The sequence below is a fragment of the Homo sapiens genome, chromosome 11 (assembly GCF_000001405.40).
Source record: "Homo sapiens chromosome 11, GRCh38.p14 Primary Assembly".
Lineage (NCBI taxonomy): Eukaryota > Metazoa > Chordata > Mammalia > Primates > Hominidae > Homo > Homo sapiens.
Window position 1 is genome coordinate 22,023,648 of NC_000011.10, and position 20,725 is coordinate 22,044,372.

General features: G+C 36.6%; 1 long non-coding RNA gene across 7 annotated transcripts in view, besides 1 other annotated feature; it reads left to right on the forward strand.

Annotated features, from left to right (window-relative positions):
• Positions 1 to 20,725, forward strand: part of LOC102723370 (uncharacterized) — a 366,694-nt gene that overhangs the window by 270,442 nt on the left and 75,527 nt on the right. The gene's annotated exons all lie outside the window — the stretch shown is intronic.
• Positions 4,878 to 5,047: an enhancer, noted in NCBI's record as "experimental_20715 CRE fragment used in MPRA reporter constructs". NCBI's record gives its function as "activates a minimal promoter by MPRAs in K562 erythroleukemia cells, with activity observed for the non-introgressed 11:22050156 variant allele {active_cell/tissue: K562}" and the evidence as "EXISTENCE:reporter gene assay evidence [ECO:0000049][PMID:34662402]".

Here is a 20,725-nt window from a genome sequence, read left to right on the forward strand (position 1 = left end):
ATAGAAAATTACTGAAAAAATTCAGTTGTTGCTTGTCTATAGACAAATAGAAGCAATAAAATACAATAATATTTTTTCCTCTTCTTTCTTAGGACCATATCTAAAAAGAGCATGTTTTCTGGCATATTTTTCATTATTCAGGAGTTTTTGAAATATGGTCTAACTTTTGAAAAATCAGTATAATAAAAGCCCTGTCATTTCAAACCATCTGGAACCAGTTTCCTTATTTACTTTTTCTTTACCAGTGCACTTTATTTCTTCATTTGATCTTAAGTTTTTGTATAGTATTCTCTTATTTCACTATAAAGGATTCCTTTAATATTTCTTATACGGCAAGTCTGTTAGCAATACATTCTCTCAAGTTTTGTTTATATGGGAATTTCTTAATTTATCTTTCATTTTTGAAATATGGTTTTATCAGATATAAAATTATTGGTTAATAGTCTTTTCTTTCAGCATTTTGTGTATATCATACCGCTGCTTCCTAGCCTCCATTTTTTTTATGAAAAGTCAACAGTTAATCTTATTGATGATTCCTTATATTTGATGAGCTATTTTTCTCTTATTGTTTTCAAGATTCTCTCTTGTTTTTGTCTTTCAATAATTTGAATGATGATTCTAGGTGGGATCCCTCTGAATTTACCCTATTTACATGTGAAACTTCTTGTTTTTTTAATCTTTATTTTAAGTTCAGGGGTACATGTGCAGATTTGTTACATGATTGTTTAGACTAAGATATTTAATCAAAATTTGGAAAATTTCAGCCATTAATTCTTCAAATATTTTTTCTTTCTCTTTGTCCTCTCCTCCTGTAACTCCAATTATGCACATATTGGCATGGTTATGGTTTCTGACAAAGCTCAGAGACTGTGTTTATTTTGTTTGTTTTATTCCTTCTGCCACTGAAAATGGATAATCTCAACTTACCTAACTTCAAGTTTATTGATACTTCTGAGAAGTCAAATCTTTTGTTGAGCCCCTCTAGTGAATTTTTTATTTTAGTTATGATAATTTTTAACTCTAGAATTTCTATTTGGTTATTTTCTATAATCTTTATCCCTTTACTTTTATTCTCCATTTGGAAAGACATTATTTGAAGACTGTCCTTTAGTTCTTGAAAAACTGTTTCCTTGAGTTCTTTGAATATACTTATAATAGTTGATTTAAAGCCCTTGCCTAGGAAGTCCCAGATTGACGCTATCTTACAGACTATTTCTATTAACATTTTAAATAATATGGATATGTAAATGCTGGAAATAAGACATCTTTTCCCCTCTGGATTTTACTGTTGTGGTTGTCTGTTCTTGTTGCTGTTTATTTATTTAATAATTTTTCAAGTCGCTTCCAAGATGGCCAAACAAGAACAGCTCAGATCTACAGCTTCCAGTGAGATCAGTGCAGAAGATGGGTGATTTCTGCATTTCCAACTAAGGTACCTGATTCATCTCATTGGAACTGATTAGACAGTGGGTGCAGCCCACGGAGGGTGAGCTGAAGCAGGGTGGGGCATCGCCTCACCCAGGAAGCACAAGGGGTAGGGGGATTTTCCTTTCCTAGCCAAGGGAAGTGGTGAGTGGCTGTAGGAGCAATACACTCCTGCTCAAATACTACGCTTTTCCAAAGGTCTTTGCCGCCAGCAAAGCAGGAGACTTCCTCCCTTGCCTGGCTCAGTGGGTCCCATGCACACAGAGCCTTGCTCACTGGAGCCTGGCTGGGGGAGGGGTGTCAGCCATTGCTGAGGATTGAGTTGGCAGTTCTATAATCACAGTGTAAACAATGTGGCAAGGAAGCTCAAACTGGGCAGAGCCCACTTCAGCTCAGCAAGGCCTACGGCCTCTCTAGATTCCACCTCTAGGGGTAGGGCATATCTGAACAAAAGGCAGCAGACACCTTCTCCAGACTGAAACGTCCCTGTCTGACAGCTCTGAAGAGAGTAGTGGTTCTCCCAGCACTGTGTTCGAGCTCTGATAACATACAGACTGCCTCTTCAAGTGGGTCCCTGAACCCTGTGTTGCCTGACTGGGAGACACCTCCCAGTAGGGGCCAACAGACACCTCGTACAGGAGGGTGCCCCTGGGGGACAAAACTTCCAGAGGAAGGATCAGGCAGCAATATTTGCTGTTCTGCAGCCTCCACTGGTGATACCCAGGCAAACAGGGTCTGAAGTGGTCCTCCAGCAAACACCAAAAAACCTGCGGCTGAGGGACCTGTCTGTTAGAAGGAAAACTAACAATCAGAAAGGAATAGCATCAACATCAACAAAAAGGACATCCACACCAAAACCCCATCCATAGGTCACCAACATCAAAGACCAAAGGTACATAAAACCACAAAGATGGGGAGAAACCAGAGCAGAAAGGCTGAAAATTCAAAAAATGAGAATGCTTCTTCTCCAAAGGAACACAACTCCTTGCCACCAAGGGCACAAAACTAGATGGAGAATGAGTTTGATGAGCTGACAGAAGTGAGCTTCAGAAGGTTGATAATAACAAACTTCTCTGAGCTAAAGGAGCGTGTTCTAACCCATTGCAAGGAAGCTAAAAACCTTGAAAAATGGTTAAAAGAATGGCTACCTAGAATAATCAGTGTAGAGAAGAGCTTAAATGACCTGATGAAGCTGAAAACTACAGTATGAGAACTGCATGAAGCATACACAAGCTTCAATAGCCAATTCAATCAAGCAGAAGAAAGGATATCAGTGATTGAAGATCAAATTAAGGAAATAAAGCAAGAAGATAATATTAGAGAAGAAAGAGTGAAAAGAAAGTAACAAAGCCTTCAAGAAATATGGGACTATGTGAAAAGACCAAATCTACGTTTGATTGGTATACCTGACAGTGACGGGGAGAATGGAACCAAGTTAGAAAACACTCTTCAGGATATTATTTAGGAGAACTTCCCCAACCTAGCAAGGCAGGCCAACGTTCTAATTCAGGAAATACAGAGAACACCACAAAGATACTCCTCAAGAAGAGCAACCCAAGACACATAATTGTCAGATTCACCAAGGTTGAAATGAAGGAAAAAATTTTAAGGGCAGCCAGAGAGAAAGGTCGGGTTACCCACAAAGGGAAGCCCATCAGACTAACAGCAGATTTCTCTGCAGGAACCCTACAGGACAGAAGAGAGTGGGGGGCCAATATTCAACATTCTTAAAGAAAAGAATTTTCAACCCAGAATTTCATATCAGACCAAACTAAGTTTCATAAGTGAAAGAGAAATAAAATCCTTTACAGACAAGCAAATGCTGAGAGATTTTGTTACCACCAGGTCTGCCTTACAAAAGCTCCTGAAGGAAGCACTAAACATGGACAGGAACAACCGGTACCAGCCACTGCAAAAACATACCAAACTGTAAAGACCATTGACACTATGAAGAAACTGCATCAATTAACAGGCGAAATAAACAGCTAGCATCATAATGACAGGATCAAATTCACACATAACAATATTAACCTTAAATCCAAATGGGCTAAATGCCCTAACCAAAAGACACAGACTGGCAAATTGGATAGAGTCAAGACTCATTGGTGTGCTATATTCAGGAGACCCATCTCATGTGCAAAGACACATAGGCTCAAAATAAAGAGATGTAGGAAGATCTACCAAGAAAATGGAAAGCAAAAAAAAGCAGGGGTTGCAATCCTAGTCTCTGATAAAACAGACTTTAAACCAACAAAGATCAAAAGAGACAAGGCCATTACACAATGGTAAAGGGATCAATTCAACAAGAAGAGCTAATTATGCTAAATATATATGCACCTAATACAGGAGCACCCAGATTCATAAAGCAAGTTCTTAGAGACCTACAAAGAGACTTAGATCCCCACACAATAATAATGGGAGAATTTAACACCCCACTGTCAATATTAGACAGATCAAAGAGATAGAAAATTAACAAGGATATCCAGGACTTGAACTCAGCTCTGGACCAAGTGTACCTAACCGACATCTACAGAACTCGCCACCCCAAATCAACAGAATATACATTCTTCTCAGCACCACATCGCACTTATTCTAAAATTTACCACATAATTGGAAGTAAAACACTCCTCAGCAAATGTAAAAGAACAGAAATCACAAAAAACTGTCTCTCAGACCACAGTGCAATCAAATTAGAACTCAGGATTAAGAAACTCACTCAAAACTGCACAACTACATGGAAACTGAACAAACCTGCTCCTGAATGGCTACTGGGTAAATAACGAAATGAAGGCAGAAATAAAGATGTTCTTTGAAACCAATGAGAACAAAGACACAATTTACCAGAATCTCTGGGACAAACTTAAAGCAGTGTGGAGAGGGAAATTTATAGCACTAAATGCCCAGAGGAGAAAGCAGGAAAGATCTAAAATCGACATCCTAACATCACAATTAAAAGAACTGGAGAAGCAAGTGCAAACAAATTCAAAAGCTAGTAGAAGACAAGAAATAATTAAGATCAGAGCAGAACTGAAGGAGATAGGGGCACAAAAAAACCTTCAACAATCAATGAATCCAGGAGCCGGATTTTGAAAAGATCAAAAAAATAGATAGACTGCTACCAAGACTAATAAAGAAGAAAAGCGAGAAGAATCAAATAGATGCAATAAAAAATGATAAAGGGGATATCACCACCGATTCCACAGAAATAGAAACTACCATCAGAGAATACTATAAACACCTCTACACAAATAAACTAGAAAATCTAGAAGAAATGGATAAATTCCTGGACACATACACCCTCCCAAGACAAAACCCGGAACAAGTTGAATCTCCGAATAGACCAATAACAGGTTCTGAAATTGAGACAACAGTTAATAGCGTACCAACCAAAAAAAGTCCACAACCAAACGGATTCATGGCCAAGTTCTACTAGAGGTACAAAGAGGAGCTGGTACCATTCCTTCTGAAACTATTCTGATCAATAGAAAAAGAGGGAATCCTCCCTAACTTATTTAATGAGGCCAGCATCATCCGGATACCAAAGTCTGGCAGAAACACAACAAAAAAAGAGAATTTTAGGCCAATATCCCTGATGAACATCAGTGCAAAAATCCTCAATAAAATACTGACAAACCAAATCCAGCAGCACATGAAAAAGCTTATCCACCACGATCAAGTCAGCTTCATCCCTGGGATGCAAGGCTGGTTCAACATATACAAATCAATAAACATAATCCATCACATAAACAGAACCAAAGACAAAAACCACATGATTATCTCAATAGATGCAGAAAAGGCCTTTGACAAAATTCAACAGGCTTTCATGCTAAAAACTCTCAATAAACTAGAAATTGTTGGAACGTATCTCAAAATAATGAGTTATTTATGACAAACCCACAGCCAATATCATACTGAATGGGCAAAGACTGGAAGCATTCCCTTTGAAAATCAGCACAAGACGAGGAGGCCCTCTCTCACCACTCCTATTCAACATAGTAGTGGAAGTTCTGGCCAGGGCAATCACGCAAGAGAAAGCAATAAAGGGTATTCAAATAGGAAGAGAGGAAGTCAAATTGTCTGTGTTTGCAGATGTCATGATTGTATATTTAGAAAACCCCATGGTCTCAGCCCCAAATCTCCTCAATCTGATAAGCAACTTCAGCATAGTCTCAGGATACAAAATCAATGTGCAAAAATCACAAGCATTCCTATATACCAGTAACAGACAAAGAGAGAGCCAAATCATTAGTGAACTCTCATTCACAATTGCTACAAAGGGAATAAAATACCTAGGAATACAACTTACAAGGGATGTGAAGAACCTCTTCAAGGAGAACTACAAACCACTGCTCAAAGAAATAAGAGAGGACACCAACAAACGGAAAAACATTCCATACTCATGGATAGGAAGAATCAATGTCATGAAAATGGCCTTACTGCCCAAAGTAATTTATAAATTCAATGCGATCTCATCAAGCTACCACTGCCTTTCTTCACAGAATTGGAAAAATCCACTTTAAACTTCATATGAAACAAAAAAAGAGCCCACATAGCCATGACAATCCTGGGCAAAAAGAACAAAGCTGGAGGCATCATTCTACCTGACTTCGAACTATACTCTAAGGCTACAGTAACCAAAACAGCATGGTACTGGTACCAAAACAGATATAGACCAATGGAACAGAATGGAGGCCTCAGAAGTAACACCACACACCTACCACCGTCTGATCTTTGACAAACCTGACACACACTAGCAATGAGGAAAATATTCCCTATTTAATAGATGGTGTTGGGAAAACTGGCTAGCCATATGCAGTAAACTGAAACTGGACCCCTTCCTTACACCTTACACAAAAATCAACTCAAGTTGGATTGAAGACTTAAATATAAGACCTAGGACCATAAAAATTCTAGAAGAAAACCTGGGCAATACCATTTAGGACATAGGCATGGGCAAAGATTTCATGTCTAAAACACCAAAAGCAATGGCAACAAAAGCCAAAATTGACAAATGGGATCTAATTAAACTAAAGAGCTTCTGCACAGCAAAAGAAACTATCATCAGAGTGAACAGGCAACCTACAGAATGGGAGAAAATTTTTGCAATCTATCCATCTGACAAAGGGTTAATAGCCAGAATCTACAAAGGACTTAAACAAATTTACAAGAAAAAAGCAAACAACCCCATCAAAAAATGGGCAAAGGATATGAACAGACACTTCTCAAAGGAAGAAATTTATGCAGCCAACAGACATATGAAAAAATGCTCATTATCACCGGTTATCAGAGAAATGCAAATCAAAATCACAATGAGATACCATCTCACACCAGTTAGAATGGCAATCATTAAAAAGTCAGGAAACAACAGGTGCTGGAGAGGTTGTAGAAAAATAGGAATGCTTTTACACTGTTGGTGGGAGTGTAAATTAGTTCAACCATTGTGGAAGACAATGTGGCAATTCCTCAAGGATCTAGAAATAGAAATACCATTTGACCCAGCAATCCAATTACTGGGCATATACCCAAAGGAATATAAATCATTCTATGATAAAGACACATGCACACATATGTTTATTGTGGCACTATTCACAATAGCAAAGACCTGCAACCAACCCAAATGTCCATCAATGATAGACTGGATTAAGAAAATGTGGCACATATACACCATGGAATACTATGCAGCCATAAAAAGATGAGTTCGTGTCCTTTGCAGGGAATAGATGAAGCTGGAAACCATCATTCTCAGCAAACTATCACAAGATCAGAAAATCAAACACCGCATGTTCTCACTCATAAGTGGGAGTTGAACAGTGAGAACACATGGACACAGGGAGGGGAACATCACACACTGGGGCCTGCAGGGTGTGGGGGTTAGGGGAGGGATAACATTAGGAGAAATACCTAATGTAGGTGATGGGTTGATGGGTGCAGCTTTCCACCATGGCATGTATATACCTATGTAACAAAACTGCACGTTCTGTACCTGTAACCCAGAACTTAAAGTAAAATAAAATAAAGAAAAATAATAATAATTTTTCTGTACTATTTGTTGCTTGGGGCCACTGACGTCTCTGCTCATTTAACGTAGAAGTCAGCAAATAATTAGGCAGAGATCTGCTTAAACACCTTGAATTAGTCGGTCTCCTCCTCTTTGTAAAGGCTCTCTTTGTGTGTTGGAGCATGCCTTCGCCTTTCCAGCAGTTTATGACTGTGTTGACTGTGTTTTCTTTTTCTTTTTTTTTTTTTTTTTTTTTTAGAAAGATTCTTGCTCTATCACCCAGGCTGGAATGTAGTGGTGCAATCTTGGCACACTGCAACCTCCACCTCCAGGGTTCAAGCAGTTCTCCTGCCTCAGCCCCTCCAGTAGCTGGGATTACAGGCATGCTAATTTTTGTATTTTTAGTAGAGACAGCATTTTACTATGTTGGCCAGGCTGGTCCTGAACCCCTGACCTCAGGTGATCTGCCTGGCTTGGCCTCCCAAAGTGCTGAGATTACAGGTTTGAGCCACTGTGCCCAGCCTATGACTCTATTTTAACCTTCATATTCTGCTTGCACAAAGGCTCAATGTGAGCCAGAGGTTAAACACCAAGACCTTATCAGGTCTTTGCTGGGAATACCCCCAATACTGCACCTGCATGCTCCCTTCCAAGTCCTTAAAAATATTTCTGAACTTTTCACATACCTATGGAAATCTTATTTCCCAAATTTTCTTTTTAAATTGTTGGGTCAACCTCTTGTTTCCCTGAATTTGTATTGCTACCTTAGGCAGCTATAATATTAAACAATAGAAAATGATTGTTGGCAATAAGAATACTGGAGATATGGCTTTTATCACTGAGTAAGCCTTGAGTTTGATCATATAAAGATAAGCATTGTGAATTGAGCTTTTCCAGGGAGCTGCAAGACAAATTAAATAATGACAATTCTATGAAGATGAGGTCATTAAGCAGCATATGACTACAAACTTATACAAATAAAAAAAATTTCGGAGTTCTGAAGTAGTCATGGCAGTGTGAGCATATACAGTGCAAATAATACTCAAAGTGAAAATAAATTCAGCCCACAGACACACTACTTTTATGGCCTTAAGGACTTAAGGACTTTGTAAATTCTGTTATGTTTGCAATTAAACAAAGATGGAAAGAGAGAAAACTTTAAGAAAGAATGGGAAGAATGCATTTCAATAAATTAAAAAGCCTCCAGAGTTTCCAAAGGAAGGGACATAACTTAAGCAATATCAGAATTAACTACATTCAAATAGTACAGAATGTTTCAATGCAATTTAATTTGAATTGCATACATTTCTGGAGTTTAAGAAAGCATTTACATTTAGAAATAAAGTTAGAGCAAATACCAGTTTTCTAAACTCTTTTCTTCTTTCCCTCAATATTAGGCTTACTAGATATAATACAAGATACCCTAATAAAATTGAATATCAGGTAAACAACAAATAACTTTTTGTATAAGTTTGTCCCTAATGTTGCATGGAACATATGGAACATTGCTGTACTAAAAAGATTTTTATTATTTACCTGAAGTTCAGATTTAACCCAGCATTCTGTTTTGTTTTTGCTGTTTGATTTTTCTGTATCTGACAACCCTACTCAATATGCAGTACATTCAGATAATCCATGTTCTTACTGTCTTTGCCCTGGAATCCATGTTCTCAACCTTATCCCCATAAGTGGAAGTTCCCACTCCAAAATGCAAAGAATGATATTTTGCTCTCCACAGATGATAATGTCAGTACATAGCATCCTTCAAAACAATTTAGCTTTAACCTGCTTCTACTGCTTTAACTATCCTTTCTCTTTCGAAACACACAAATAAACATATTTCTTCCCTTGGAAATCTGTGCTCCAGCCACATCTTAGCTTTTGTATAATCTTCCTTCTGTTTGTAACAAGCTCTTCTTTCTGCATTTCCCACCTTCTGCTTATTTTACACCTACTCATGTATCAAATCCAAGCTCAAATACAGCCCCCTTTCTATAAATTTCCACTCCTTCAGACAGAGTTAGGGAGTCATTCCTCTATGGAATTGTGCTCTCATGTAACGGTGTATTTATTCCTATTGCAGTACTTATGCTACATTGAATTACAGTGAAACCCCACAGTAATAAGAAATTGGATATTGCTTGGTTGGTAATTAGCTCCTTCACTTGCTCCTCATTTTTATAGTGGAGCAGGAGGCAAGCTAAAGTTTCATCTTGGCCTGGGGGAAAGGGCAGGGTGTGGGGGAGAGATGCTGAAGGCAATCCCATTATGGGATGCATTGCAAGGGGTAGACAAGGAATCTTTTGTGATCCTTGATTTGAACCACCTCAAATTTGTGAATATGGATTCCTCACTCAAGGTAACAGACAGCTTCCTGAATTACTAACTCTCCCCAGGAAAACCAAAACACCATTACTGTCTCCATCCTTATTCAAGCTAGAACAGATAAGCACCAATAGAAAGCATTGAATTGCTCTTTGTAGGTCTCTAAGAACTTCCTTTATGAATCTGGGTGCTCCTGTATTGGGTGCACAAATATTTAGGATAGTTAGCTCTTCTTGTTGCATTGATCCCTTTGCCATTATGTAATGCCTTTCTTTGTCTCTTTTGATCGTTGTCGGTTTAAAGTCTGTTTTATCAGAGGCTAGGATTGAAACCCCTGTTTTTTTTTTCTTTCCATTTGCTTGGCAACTATCCCTCCATCTCTTTATTTTGAGCCTATGTGTGTCTTTGCACATGAGATAGGTTTCCTGAATACAGCACACTGATGGGTCTTGACTCTTTATCCAATTTGCCAGTCTGTGTCTTTTAGTTGGGGCATTTAGCCCATTTACATTTAAGGTTAATACTGTTATATGTGAATTTGATCCTGTCATTATGATGCTAGCTGGTTATTTTACCCATTAGTTGATGCAGTTTCTTCATAGTGTCAATGGTCTTTACAATTTGGTATGTTTCTGCAGTGGCTGGTACCGGTTTTTCCTTTCCATATTTAGTGCTTCCTTCAGGGTCTCTTGTAAGGCAGGCCTGGTGGTAACAAAATCCCTCAGCATTTGCTTGTCTGTAAAGAAAATCATCATTCTCAGCAAACTAACACAAAAACAGAAAACCAAACACCGCATGTTCTCACTCATAAGTGGAAGTTGAACAATGAGAACACATGGACACAGGGAGGGGAATATCACACACTGGGGCCTGTTGGGGGGTGGGGACTAGGGGAGGGATAGCATTAGGAGAACTACCTAATGTAGGTGATGTGTTGATAGGTGCAGCAAACCACCACGGCACATGTATACCTATGTAACAAAACTGCACGGTCTGCACATGTACCCTAGAACTTAAAGTACAATAAAAAAAAGAAAATGAAATAAACTGTATAAAAAAATACGAAAGCATCAAATTGCAACGTTGATGGAAAAATATAGGTGGAATCCTGGAATATAAAGAAGGCTAGCTTTATGCAGTCTTGCCTTCAGCAATCTTGCAATAATGTGACCATATTTTTATAAGATTTTATTTTGGAGGAAACCCACTGGTCAAATTAAGGCAAGGTGTTCTGTGTTATTTTCCCCCAAATGTTTCTTTTATTGGACAATGAGCTCCACGAGTACAATGATTACGGTTTACTCATCTCTGTAATCTCAGAGCCCAACGTAGTGCCCATCTCAGAGTAAGTAATTTGTAAAAGAATACAGTCATTTGTTGAGTAAATAAATGAAATACAGTGTATCTTTTGCTTTATCAAAAGTTGGAAATATTTAAATCTGGTGTTAGTATGATTATACAAATTCATTTAGCTTGCCCAAACCTGCCATTCTATAATTGTTCATTTTCATCATCATTTATCTCCCCAATGAAAAGATATTTCTAACTCTCATTATACTATTAATAAAGCTTCTTGTTTAGGTCTTGATAATGCTATTGTTGTGGAGTAAAGCGATCATACTTGACTGTGGATTACAACACTATCCCTAGAGGTATTACATCTTCAGTGGGTTTTTCATATCTTAACGAAGAACCACTAAGTTGTAGATTAGAATTGACTTGTATAGACACAAACTGCATTTTTTAACCTGAAGTATTTTTAAATCTTAACTTAAAAAATAATTTTCAACACAAACATTACGATCATGGGTACAGAGATGGTGGTATGCATGTATATTCAAATATGCAAGTTATACCAAAGAAACTTGTGTTCTTGCTTTCAGTACAAAAAAGTTAGCTATAATTTTAATGTAATTATACATCTCACAATTTTTTAATAGACCTGATTTCAAGAATTTAAAAATTTTTATTGACTAATAGTTATATATTTACTAAATGTTCAATGAAATAATATTTATAACTGAATATGATATAATTTGTGTATTTTTTAAGTTTCTTACATTAATATATTCACTTATAAAACTATCCTGTCAAACAAGATTAATTGCTTTGTTTCAGAAATATGGTAACCAGCAAACAGGGTTCAGCCCATCCAATCTTAGCCAAAACATCTATGTGTTATTCTGTATTAGTACATACTTTTGGTTCAGCATTTCCTTGACCCCTTTGTCTCTTCCTTTATTCATTTTACTCTCTTTTTTCCTTTTCCTTATTGGTCTATCCCATCTTCTAGAGGCTGCATGAAAATGCAAGCAAAAGTTTGAAACAAACTGACAAAAAGATATAAAGAAAGAAAAAGTGCCATTTGGCTGCATTGAATTGCTCTTCAGAACAATGTTGTATATTATATTACAATAACACAGATTATAACCAGAATGGAGCTATTTTCTCATTAAGATGAATGTAATGAGAATGATAAATGAGTTCAAATAAAACCTATTCAAAACACATTGCTAAGCTTTATATCCCCTCCTTAGATGCTGTATATAGCCTTGTTTCATGATGTCATTATCTCTTTGTGAAATTTAAAAAAAAAATTAGCTGACAGTTTAAGAAATCTGTCACAACAGTTGTATACTACAATCTGTCTAATTTAGGAGACATTTTCCTGTCACAGCACTGTTCTGTGAGTATTTAATCTGTTTGCCATTGAGTTTAGGGTAATTTGGAATTACTAAAGATGATGAGTAGTATAACAGACAGAAAGAGTCAGCTGATGTAGGTTCTAGTTTCAGCTCTGTATTAGTTTCCTACTGCTGCTGTAACAAATTAACACAAATTTAAGGGCTTAAAACGATACATTTTTAATACTACAATTCTATAGATTATAGATATAACACAGGTCTCACAGAGTCTAACCCAGTCCTGATCTTGTGGGCCCCATTCTTCCATCCTCAAAGTCAGTAATTTTATATCTCTTCGACCATTGTTTCACAGTCACACACTCTCTGGCCCTTCCCTCAGCTGTGAAAGGTACTTTTAAGGACTCATGTAATTAGATTGTGCCCACATAGATCATCCAGGATTATCTCTGCCTCTCAAGGTTCTTAACTTTAATCACATCTGCAAAGTCCCTTTTTCCATGTTTGGTGGTAACATATTCATAGGTTCTAGGAATTAGACATGAACACGTTTGGCAGAGGGCATTATGATGCCTACTACAAGTTTCATTCATATCACTTTATGACCTTAGTTAATCATTAAGTACTTTAAACTCTTAGCTCCCTTTTCAGCAAAATGGTGATAATTAATCACTCTGCTGATTAAGGAGGCCTTCCTTTATTTTATTCTCTTTGTCACTTTTCCTAAGATTTGTCATAAAGTGTAAGGTAATGAAGGTGAAGTTATTTGCATTTTAGAAATCAGGTTATATTAGTCCCAGATTTGCTTTGCAATTTGCCAACTTATTCATTAATTCATATACTCACTAAGTAACTGTTGAATACTTACTATGTGTCCAATGCTGTTGTACATTTTACAGACATGGTGGTGAACAAATAGACAAGATACTGACTATTGAGGAGATTTAATGAAAAGATAGGTCATGTAACTGAAAGAACACTGGGCAGCTACTCCAGTTAGGGTGAACAAGGACTACTCTGAGGAGGAAAGCTGAAATGTAGCATACTCAATTTCCAGGAATGGCAAGGAGATCTGAAATAAGAGACCTTGCAAGACAGTAGGAAGAGCATTTCAGGAAGAGAGAAAGGATCTAAAATGGATTCAAGTTTGGTCAGTTCCAGGAACAGCTAGAAGGCCAGGTAATTGAACAAAATAAGGAAGAGGGGAAGTGAAAGGACTAGGTTGGAAATGTAGGCAAATAATTTGGTCAAGTAATTAAATGAGAAATGGTGAGGAACAGAACATATGTTCTTGTTGACCAAGTCCATATAAGTTTCTCCTTCCCTATTTTATTGTTCTTAAAAGATAACTGACAAAATCACCTTCCTGGGTTTTTGTTGTTGTTTTAATCTAGATAAGCGGTCCCCAACCTTTTTGGCACCAGAGAGCAGTTTCATGGAACACAATTTTTCCACAGACAGGTGTTGAGGGGATGGTTTGGGGATGAAACTTTGCCACCTTGATCATCAGGCATTAGTTAGAGTCTTGTAAGGCGCATGCAACCTAGATCTGTCCCATGCGCAGTTCACAATAGGGTTCCCACTCCTATGAGAATCTAATGCCTTGCTTATCTGACAGGAGGCGGAGTTCAGGCCGTAGTGCTCGCCTGTCGCTCACCTCCTGCTGTGCCACCAGGTTGCTAACAGGCCAGGAACTGGTACTAGTCCGTGGCCCGGGAGTTGGCGACTCCAGATCTAGATGATAAGCTAATATAGTAATAAACTATCCTGTAGGGAATTTAGAGAAAAACAAATAAACATGAAAACCAATATTTCAGTACTCTCAGTGCAAAAACTAACTAGTAAGAGAGGCCTGGGAATTCTTGGTCTTTATCAGCTGTGGTCTGAGGATGGAAAAATGATTTGAGTATTTATCTAAATATATCTATAGTTCACCATTACTCTTAAATAGGAAGTTTAGCTGGGCATTACATTCTAGTTGGGTACTTTTGCATTAATACATAAAGATACTGTTTCATTATCTTCCGGCATCAGTCTTACTGAAGAAAATAAAATTTTGTTCCTTAGTAAACAGCCTTTCTCAACTTTTAAAGATATTATATTCTCATTGCTTTTGGTTTCTGAAATCTCACTATGATGTGCCTAAGTTGGATTTCTTTTCATCCTCCTAAAATTTTGTATAATTTTCAAATTATGGATATTTATCTCTTTTTAATCTCTTGACTATTATATCTTTAGATATTGCCTCTTCTACATTCTCTGTTTCTGGAACTCCTGTAGGTATATGTTTACGTTTTTAATGCCATCCTTCATGTCCCTTAATCTTACTTACATATTGTTTACTTTTTCCTGCTGCAACATTGGCAACTTTTTTGTTCTGCCTTCAAGTTCAGTAAGTCTCTCTTCAAATAGTAATAAAGAGCAAATACTTTTAAAAATCTTTCTTGGTATCAGGAACTCTTTGAAGCCTTTTTTCTACATTAATTCATTTAATTAGCACAAAAAGCATAAGCCATTTATCATCTTATAGATGAGGAAACTGTCTAATTTGCTTTGAGTTTTTTATTTCAGTATCTGCATTTTTGCATGTTCTGCTTTGTTACCAATTTCTGCTTATGAAAAATAGCCACAGTTACCTTTTCCAGAGCCACATTATTGTATTTAATGAATTTCTTCCACAAAAAAATAGTGTTGGTGTATGTAGTTTTAGATTTAAATAAATTATAATTTCTATATATCTTATAGTTTCAACTTGTATCCAACTCGTACAGTTTTACTCATTTACCTTCAACTTATATGTCTGATTTCAATTGATTATTTTGTCATATGTAAAGCATATGTCATGTTTTACTTAGCGTAAGTTAGATTATGCTGTGGTAGCAAATGTCTCCATCTCAGTTGCTTACAACCACAAAGATTTATGTTTTAACATGCTACATGTCCATCAAAAGTCATCTTTCCTAGCAGTCTCTGATAGAAATGGCAGTTTTCACATTCCATTGGCTAAAGTAAGTCTTGTGGACAAACCTGTCATTACTGGAGTGAGAAATTAGAATTCTTCCTTGGGGCCTGGCAGGGTAGCTCAAGCCTGTAATCCCAGCACTTGGGGTGGTCAAGGTTGGCAAATTGCTTGAGCCCAGGAGTTCGAGACCAGCCTGGGCAAAATGGCAAAACCCAGTCTCTAGTAAAAATACAAAAATCAGCTTGGCATGGTGGTGCACACCTGTAGTCCCAGCTCCTGAAGAGGCTAAGGTGGGAGGATTACTTGAACTCTAGAGGCAGGGGTTGCAGTGAGCTGAGATCATGCCACTACACTCCAGTCTGGGTGACAGAGTGAGACTCTGTCTCAAAAAAAAAAAAAGAATCCTTTCTAGAAAGTGTAAGCAAATACTGGTAAACTGTTGTTCTACCTTCCACATCCACGCTTTCAACTGCCCAACATTTTATTTCCTCTCGCTTTGACATGTAGCACTCACTCAGTAATCCTTCAAGAGAGACAAGCCCAAAAGTCCTAACCATTCTCTGCTCTAACCACAAATCCAGAATCAGTGACTGGTGTTGGGTCTCTTTATCACTTCTAGAGATGAATCCTCTTAGTTAAAAAAATTTTGATATGAATAAAATGTTTAGGACCTTACACACTCTCAAAACACGATGACAGGACAGAGATAAGCTCGTTCAGACGTGGAAAGAAGGCGAGGATGCCTCCAAGGGCCTGGGAGAATACCCTACTACATTTGTCAGTAGCAATTCCCAAACCTTGCTGGGCAGAAATGTCAAAAAGCCCCTGTCCTCAGGGTGAGGGACATTTTTTTCTAGGCCGAGATTCTACTCTATAAGATTAGTTCCATAGTCAATTATGCTCATAAATTTTGGCTCCACTCGAGTTATTTTTCTCTTCCATGATCTTCTTGGGCACATCTCAAGGAAGCATTTAAGAATATTTCTTGCTAAGAAGCTGAGCAGCTCTCTCAGTCTGCTTTCCAGAGGATTTGGGGCCTATGTTTGTTAAATATCACAAGCGATTTATATCTAGGTTTGTAGTGCTTCTACTAGTACAACTCTCTCAAAAACATCCCTTTCTCAGTTACTGCCACCTTGAGCCTATAAAACTGCACTGGAGAAGCCACAACCTTAGACTTTTTTGCAAAAATACTTTTTTCTAACCAAGAAAATTTACTGGGTACAAATGTAATCAATTCTATGGTTTTAACAACAAGTATAAGGACAACACTATCAATTTGATTCTTAATAGGAATTTGACTTTTAAGCTTTCAAGTCACTCAAATAAGTTTTTGACTTCATTTTTTACCAACTGAGAATGAGAACCTGTTGTTGTCTTCCACACCTGAGAGTTTCTCAATTACTGGAATTTATTCTTACAGCAGACATTACAGGATATCTTTTTCGCGTTGCCACGTCAGTACTGGCTGTCTCTCAATGGATAGTACCAGCGTCTCTTTACCTGTTACATTTCTCCAAAGCTCTAGAAGCATGTTCTGCCTAAGTGCATGGCAGTGGATGACTCTGAAACATGTCTCCCACACCATTTTTGAATGCTTCCAAGTGAGATTATGATACAGTGCCAACAGAGGTAGCTGGCTTGAATGCTTTCCTTTCTCATTCCTCCCACTCCCTATTTGTGTTTCCTCTTCATCCCAAATAAATTATTTTCAGTTTAATCCTTGGATAACAAGATCAACTATTGGGAGAATTCAAACTAGCCAAGTTCACTTTTATTCCTGTGTGAAACCTGACAATTCTTTGCCAAGTACAAATATTTATTGTATTAATTTGTTAAACAAAACAATTTTGACCAACCAACCACTATACCAATAGTCTTGTTGTTGTTAATCTCTTTTCCAAAAGCTACAGACTTATTACATACTTTAGAAATTATTTCATTCAATAGTTATACCAAATTGTTGCCCGTGATTAACATGGATCGCCATCTTTCCAGATTCTAACAACAGTTTTTTCCCTACCCCTTTCCAACCTTGAAGCCATTGACACATAGTTTAGATTGTATATTATTGAAAAATCATATTCATGGTACAATTTATGCATTATTCAGGACTGGCTACGTTGTGCTGCAGTAATTAATGATCTCCAAATCTAATTTGCTTACAGCAGAAGAGATTTATTTATTAGTTGGGCTGGATGTCTTCATTCTGGGGCCAAGAATGAAGGGTTAAGCTCTATAAAAATTGCAAGTCATCGTGGCAAAGAAAAGAAAGGATGAATGTAATAAAATACAAACTGGATCTTTAATAATGTCAATTAGATAAAATACAGAACATTCAATTACATTTAATTTCTGATAAATGATAAATACATTTTCTGCATAAGTATATCTCAAGTATTACATGGGGTACACTTATAAAAATTACTCTTTGTTTATCTGAAATTCAAATTTAACTAGATGTCTAGTATTTTTACTTGTTAATGCTAGCAACCCTACTACTATGGGCTGAGTTGTGTACCCCCAAAATTTATATATTAAATCCATAACCCCAAAACCTCAGAATTAGACAGTATTTGGAGATAGGGCCTTTAAAGATATTATTAAGTTAAAATGAGGTCTTTAGAATCTGCACTAATCCAATCTGACTGGAGTCCTTATAAGAGGAAATTTAGACACACAAAGGGACACCAGGGATGCATGCACCCAGAGGAAAGGACACAGAGATGTGAGGACACAGAGAGAAGGTCGCCATCTGCAAGCCAAGGAGAAAGGCCTCTGGAGAAACCAAACATGCCTGTACCTTAATACTGGACTTTTAGCCTCCAGAACTGTGGGAAATAAATGATGCTTAAGCCACCCACTGTATAGTACTTTGTTATGACAGACCTAGGAAACTAGTACACCTACTCTTTAAGCTTCTGCTAGAAAGTGACACATGCAATTTATGCTTGCATTGGCTAAAGCTGATCACATGGCCAAGCCTGACTTCAAAGGGACAGAGATACACAATTCTCCCTCTTGTTGGGGAAGCAAGTATTGATGGAAAGTAACAAAATCTATCACCTTTTTCTATTCCTTTACTACTAGACATCAAAGCCCCATTAAATTATTTGCTCTAACAAACGATAAAGAATCTCATCTATTTGTGCATTAGAAATCAACAAATTCTCTGGGATATATACACCCAAAAAATGTAATTGCTGGGTCACTGTGCATATGCACACTAATTTCATTAAGAATTTCCTGGAAGCTCTCCAGAGTGGCTACACATCTGGTCACTTTCTCACAAGAAATGAGGTTTACCTTCCCTGACATTCTCTACAGCCTTTGGCATAAACATCTTTCTTTTTCTCTAACTAATCAGTATGAAGTGGCTTCACATTAATTTGCAGTCCTCTAATTTTTAATGAGGTTGCACATTCCTGCATGCATATATTAAACATTTAATATCCCCTTATGTGAGTTGTCCTTTCATGTCCTCTGTATCCATTTTTCTATTGGGTTTTCTGTATTGATCTTCTAACTCATAGGAGTTAATTGTAGTTATTAATTATTTGTCTCTTAAATTTCCAAATATCTTCTTTTAGTATGTCACCCATTCATTAACTTTAATCACAGTGTCTTTCCCTGAATATAAATTCACTAGTTTAAGATAATTTTTTTTCTACTCATAGCTAGTGCTTTTGTAGACATGTTTAGAAAAATTTTCCTTCTGGATTTTTCACAAATAGTTTCTGAATATTCCATTGGGTTTATAGTTTTACTTTTACATTTGGGGTTTTAGTAATTTAGACTCTATGGGCTATTTTTTTCTATATGGACTATATGGCCTATATGGTCTGTATGGACTCTATTTTTTTCTGCATAGTAACTAAATGTTAGTTACTAAATGTTAATTTTCTACATGGTAACTAAATGTTCCTAACACCAACCATTGTATAATTCATTGATTCCCCAGCAATTATGATGTTATTCCTATTAGATACCATATCCCTATATTTCCATAAATCTATTTCTGGGCTCTCTATTCTGTCCTCTGAATTCTCTGTTTCTTTATTAAGATCTTACCTTATTAATTATGATGATTTTGTACTATGTTTTAAAATTTTATAGAAAATATATTCCCTTTTTCCCCTTATTTTCAAAATTGCCTGATATATTTGAGGATATTTATTGTTCTAGTTATATTTGGATTACTCAAAAATTCTTTTTAAGATAGAAATTGAATTTAAAGGTGAGTGGTTGATTGTTAACATCTTTACATGTAAAATTATCCTATCCATAAATATATTATTCAGATGTTCTTTTGTGCCCTGTAATAGAGTTTAAATTATTATCTGCAGTAAAGGTGATATGTATCTTAGTTGGGGCAATTCTCAATTTTTTATTCATTTAGTAATCGATACCTTTTTCTTATTTTATTTCATTATTATTGATTTTCAGAAACGTCACTAAATTTTTGGTATGTTGACCTTATATTCAACAACTTTCCAAACTCTATTATTGGTTGTTACAGACTATTATTAATTCTACTAAGTTTTGTAGGGAAATTATCTCATCTGCAAATAATAACAATTATGGTTATCTTGTCTATTTTTCTTGCACAATTATATGTTATGCTTATGTCAGATCTTTCTGCACTTTAATGGACAGTACAATTGACAAAGAATCACTGTCTTAATGCCAGCTTCAAAGGGAATGTGTATCAAGTTAAGGAAAATGTTAATGCAGGCTTTATTCAGAGTCTTTACATATTTAAGTTTTAGCTTTTGTTTTCTAAGAATTCTTTTTCATCATCAGTAAGTGTAGGCCTTTTTTCAAATGCTTTTGCTCAATCTATGGAGTTGGTCATTTTAATTTTTCTCTTTAGGTATATTAATACGGGTAATTATAGTAAAATCCATCATTTTTTTCTCCTCATGGCTAGTATTTTTCAAATTGCGTTTAAGCAATCTTTCTCACCAATATTTCTCACAGATCGTATCCTATTATTTATTTTACTGACTTTATACTTTCATTTTTCACGTTTTGAGCCTGACAGATTTTCTAAACTCAGCCCATCTTTATATACTTATTTGATAAATATGTGTCTTTTATGTTAGTTGGTTTGGGCTTGTAATATTTTGCTTATGATATTTGCATATGTTTTTATGAGTAAATTTGCTCTTTTTTTCCTCACATTTTCCTTATTCTATTTTAGCATCAAGACTATATCAGCCTCATAAAAAGAGTTGGGTTGGGCCGGGCTTAGTGACTCACGCCAGTAATTCCAGCACTTTGGGAGGCCAAGGTGGGCAGATTCCTGGAGCACAGGAGTTCCAGACCAGTCTGGCAAACATGACTAAACCCCATCTCAACAAAAAAATTAAA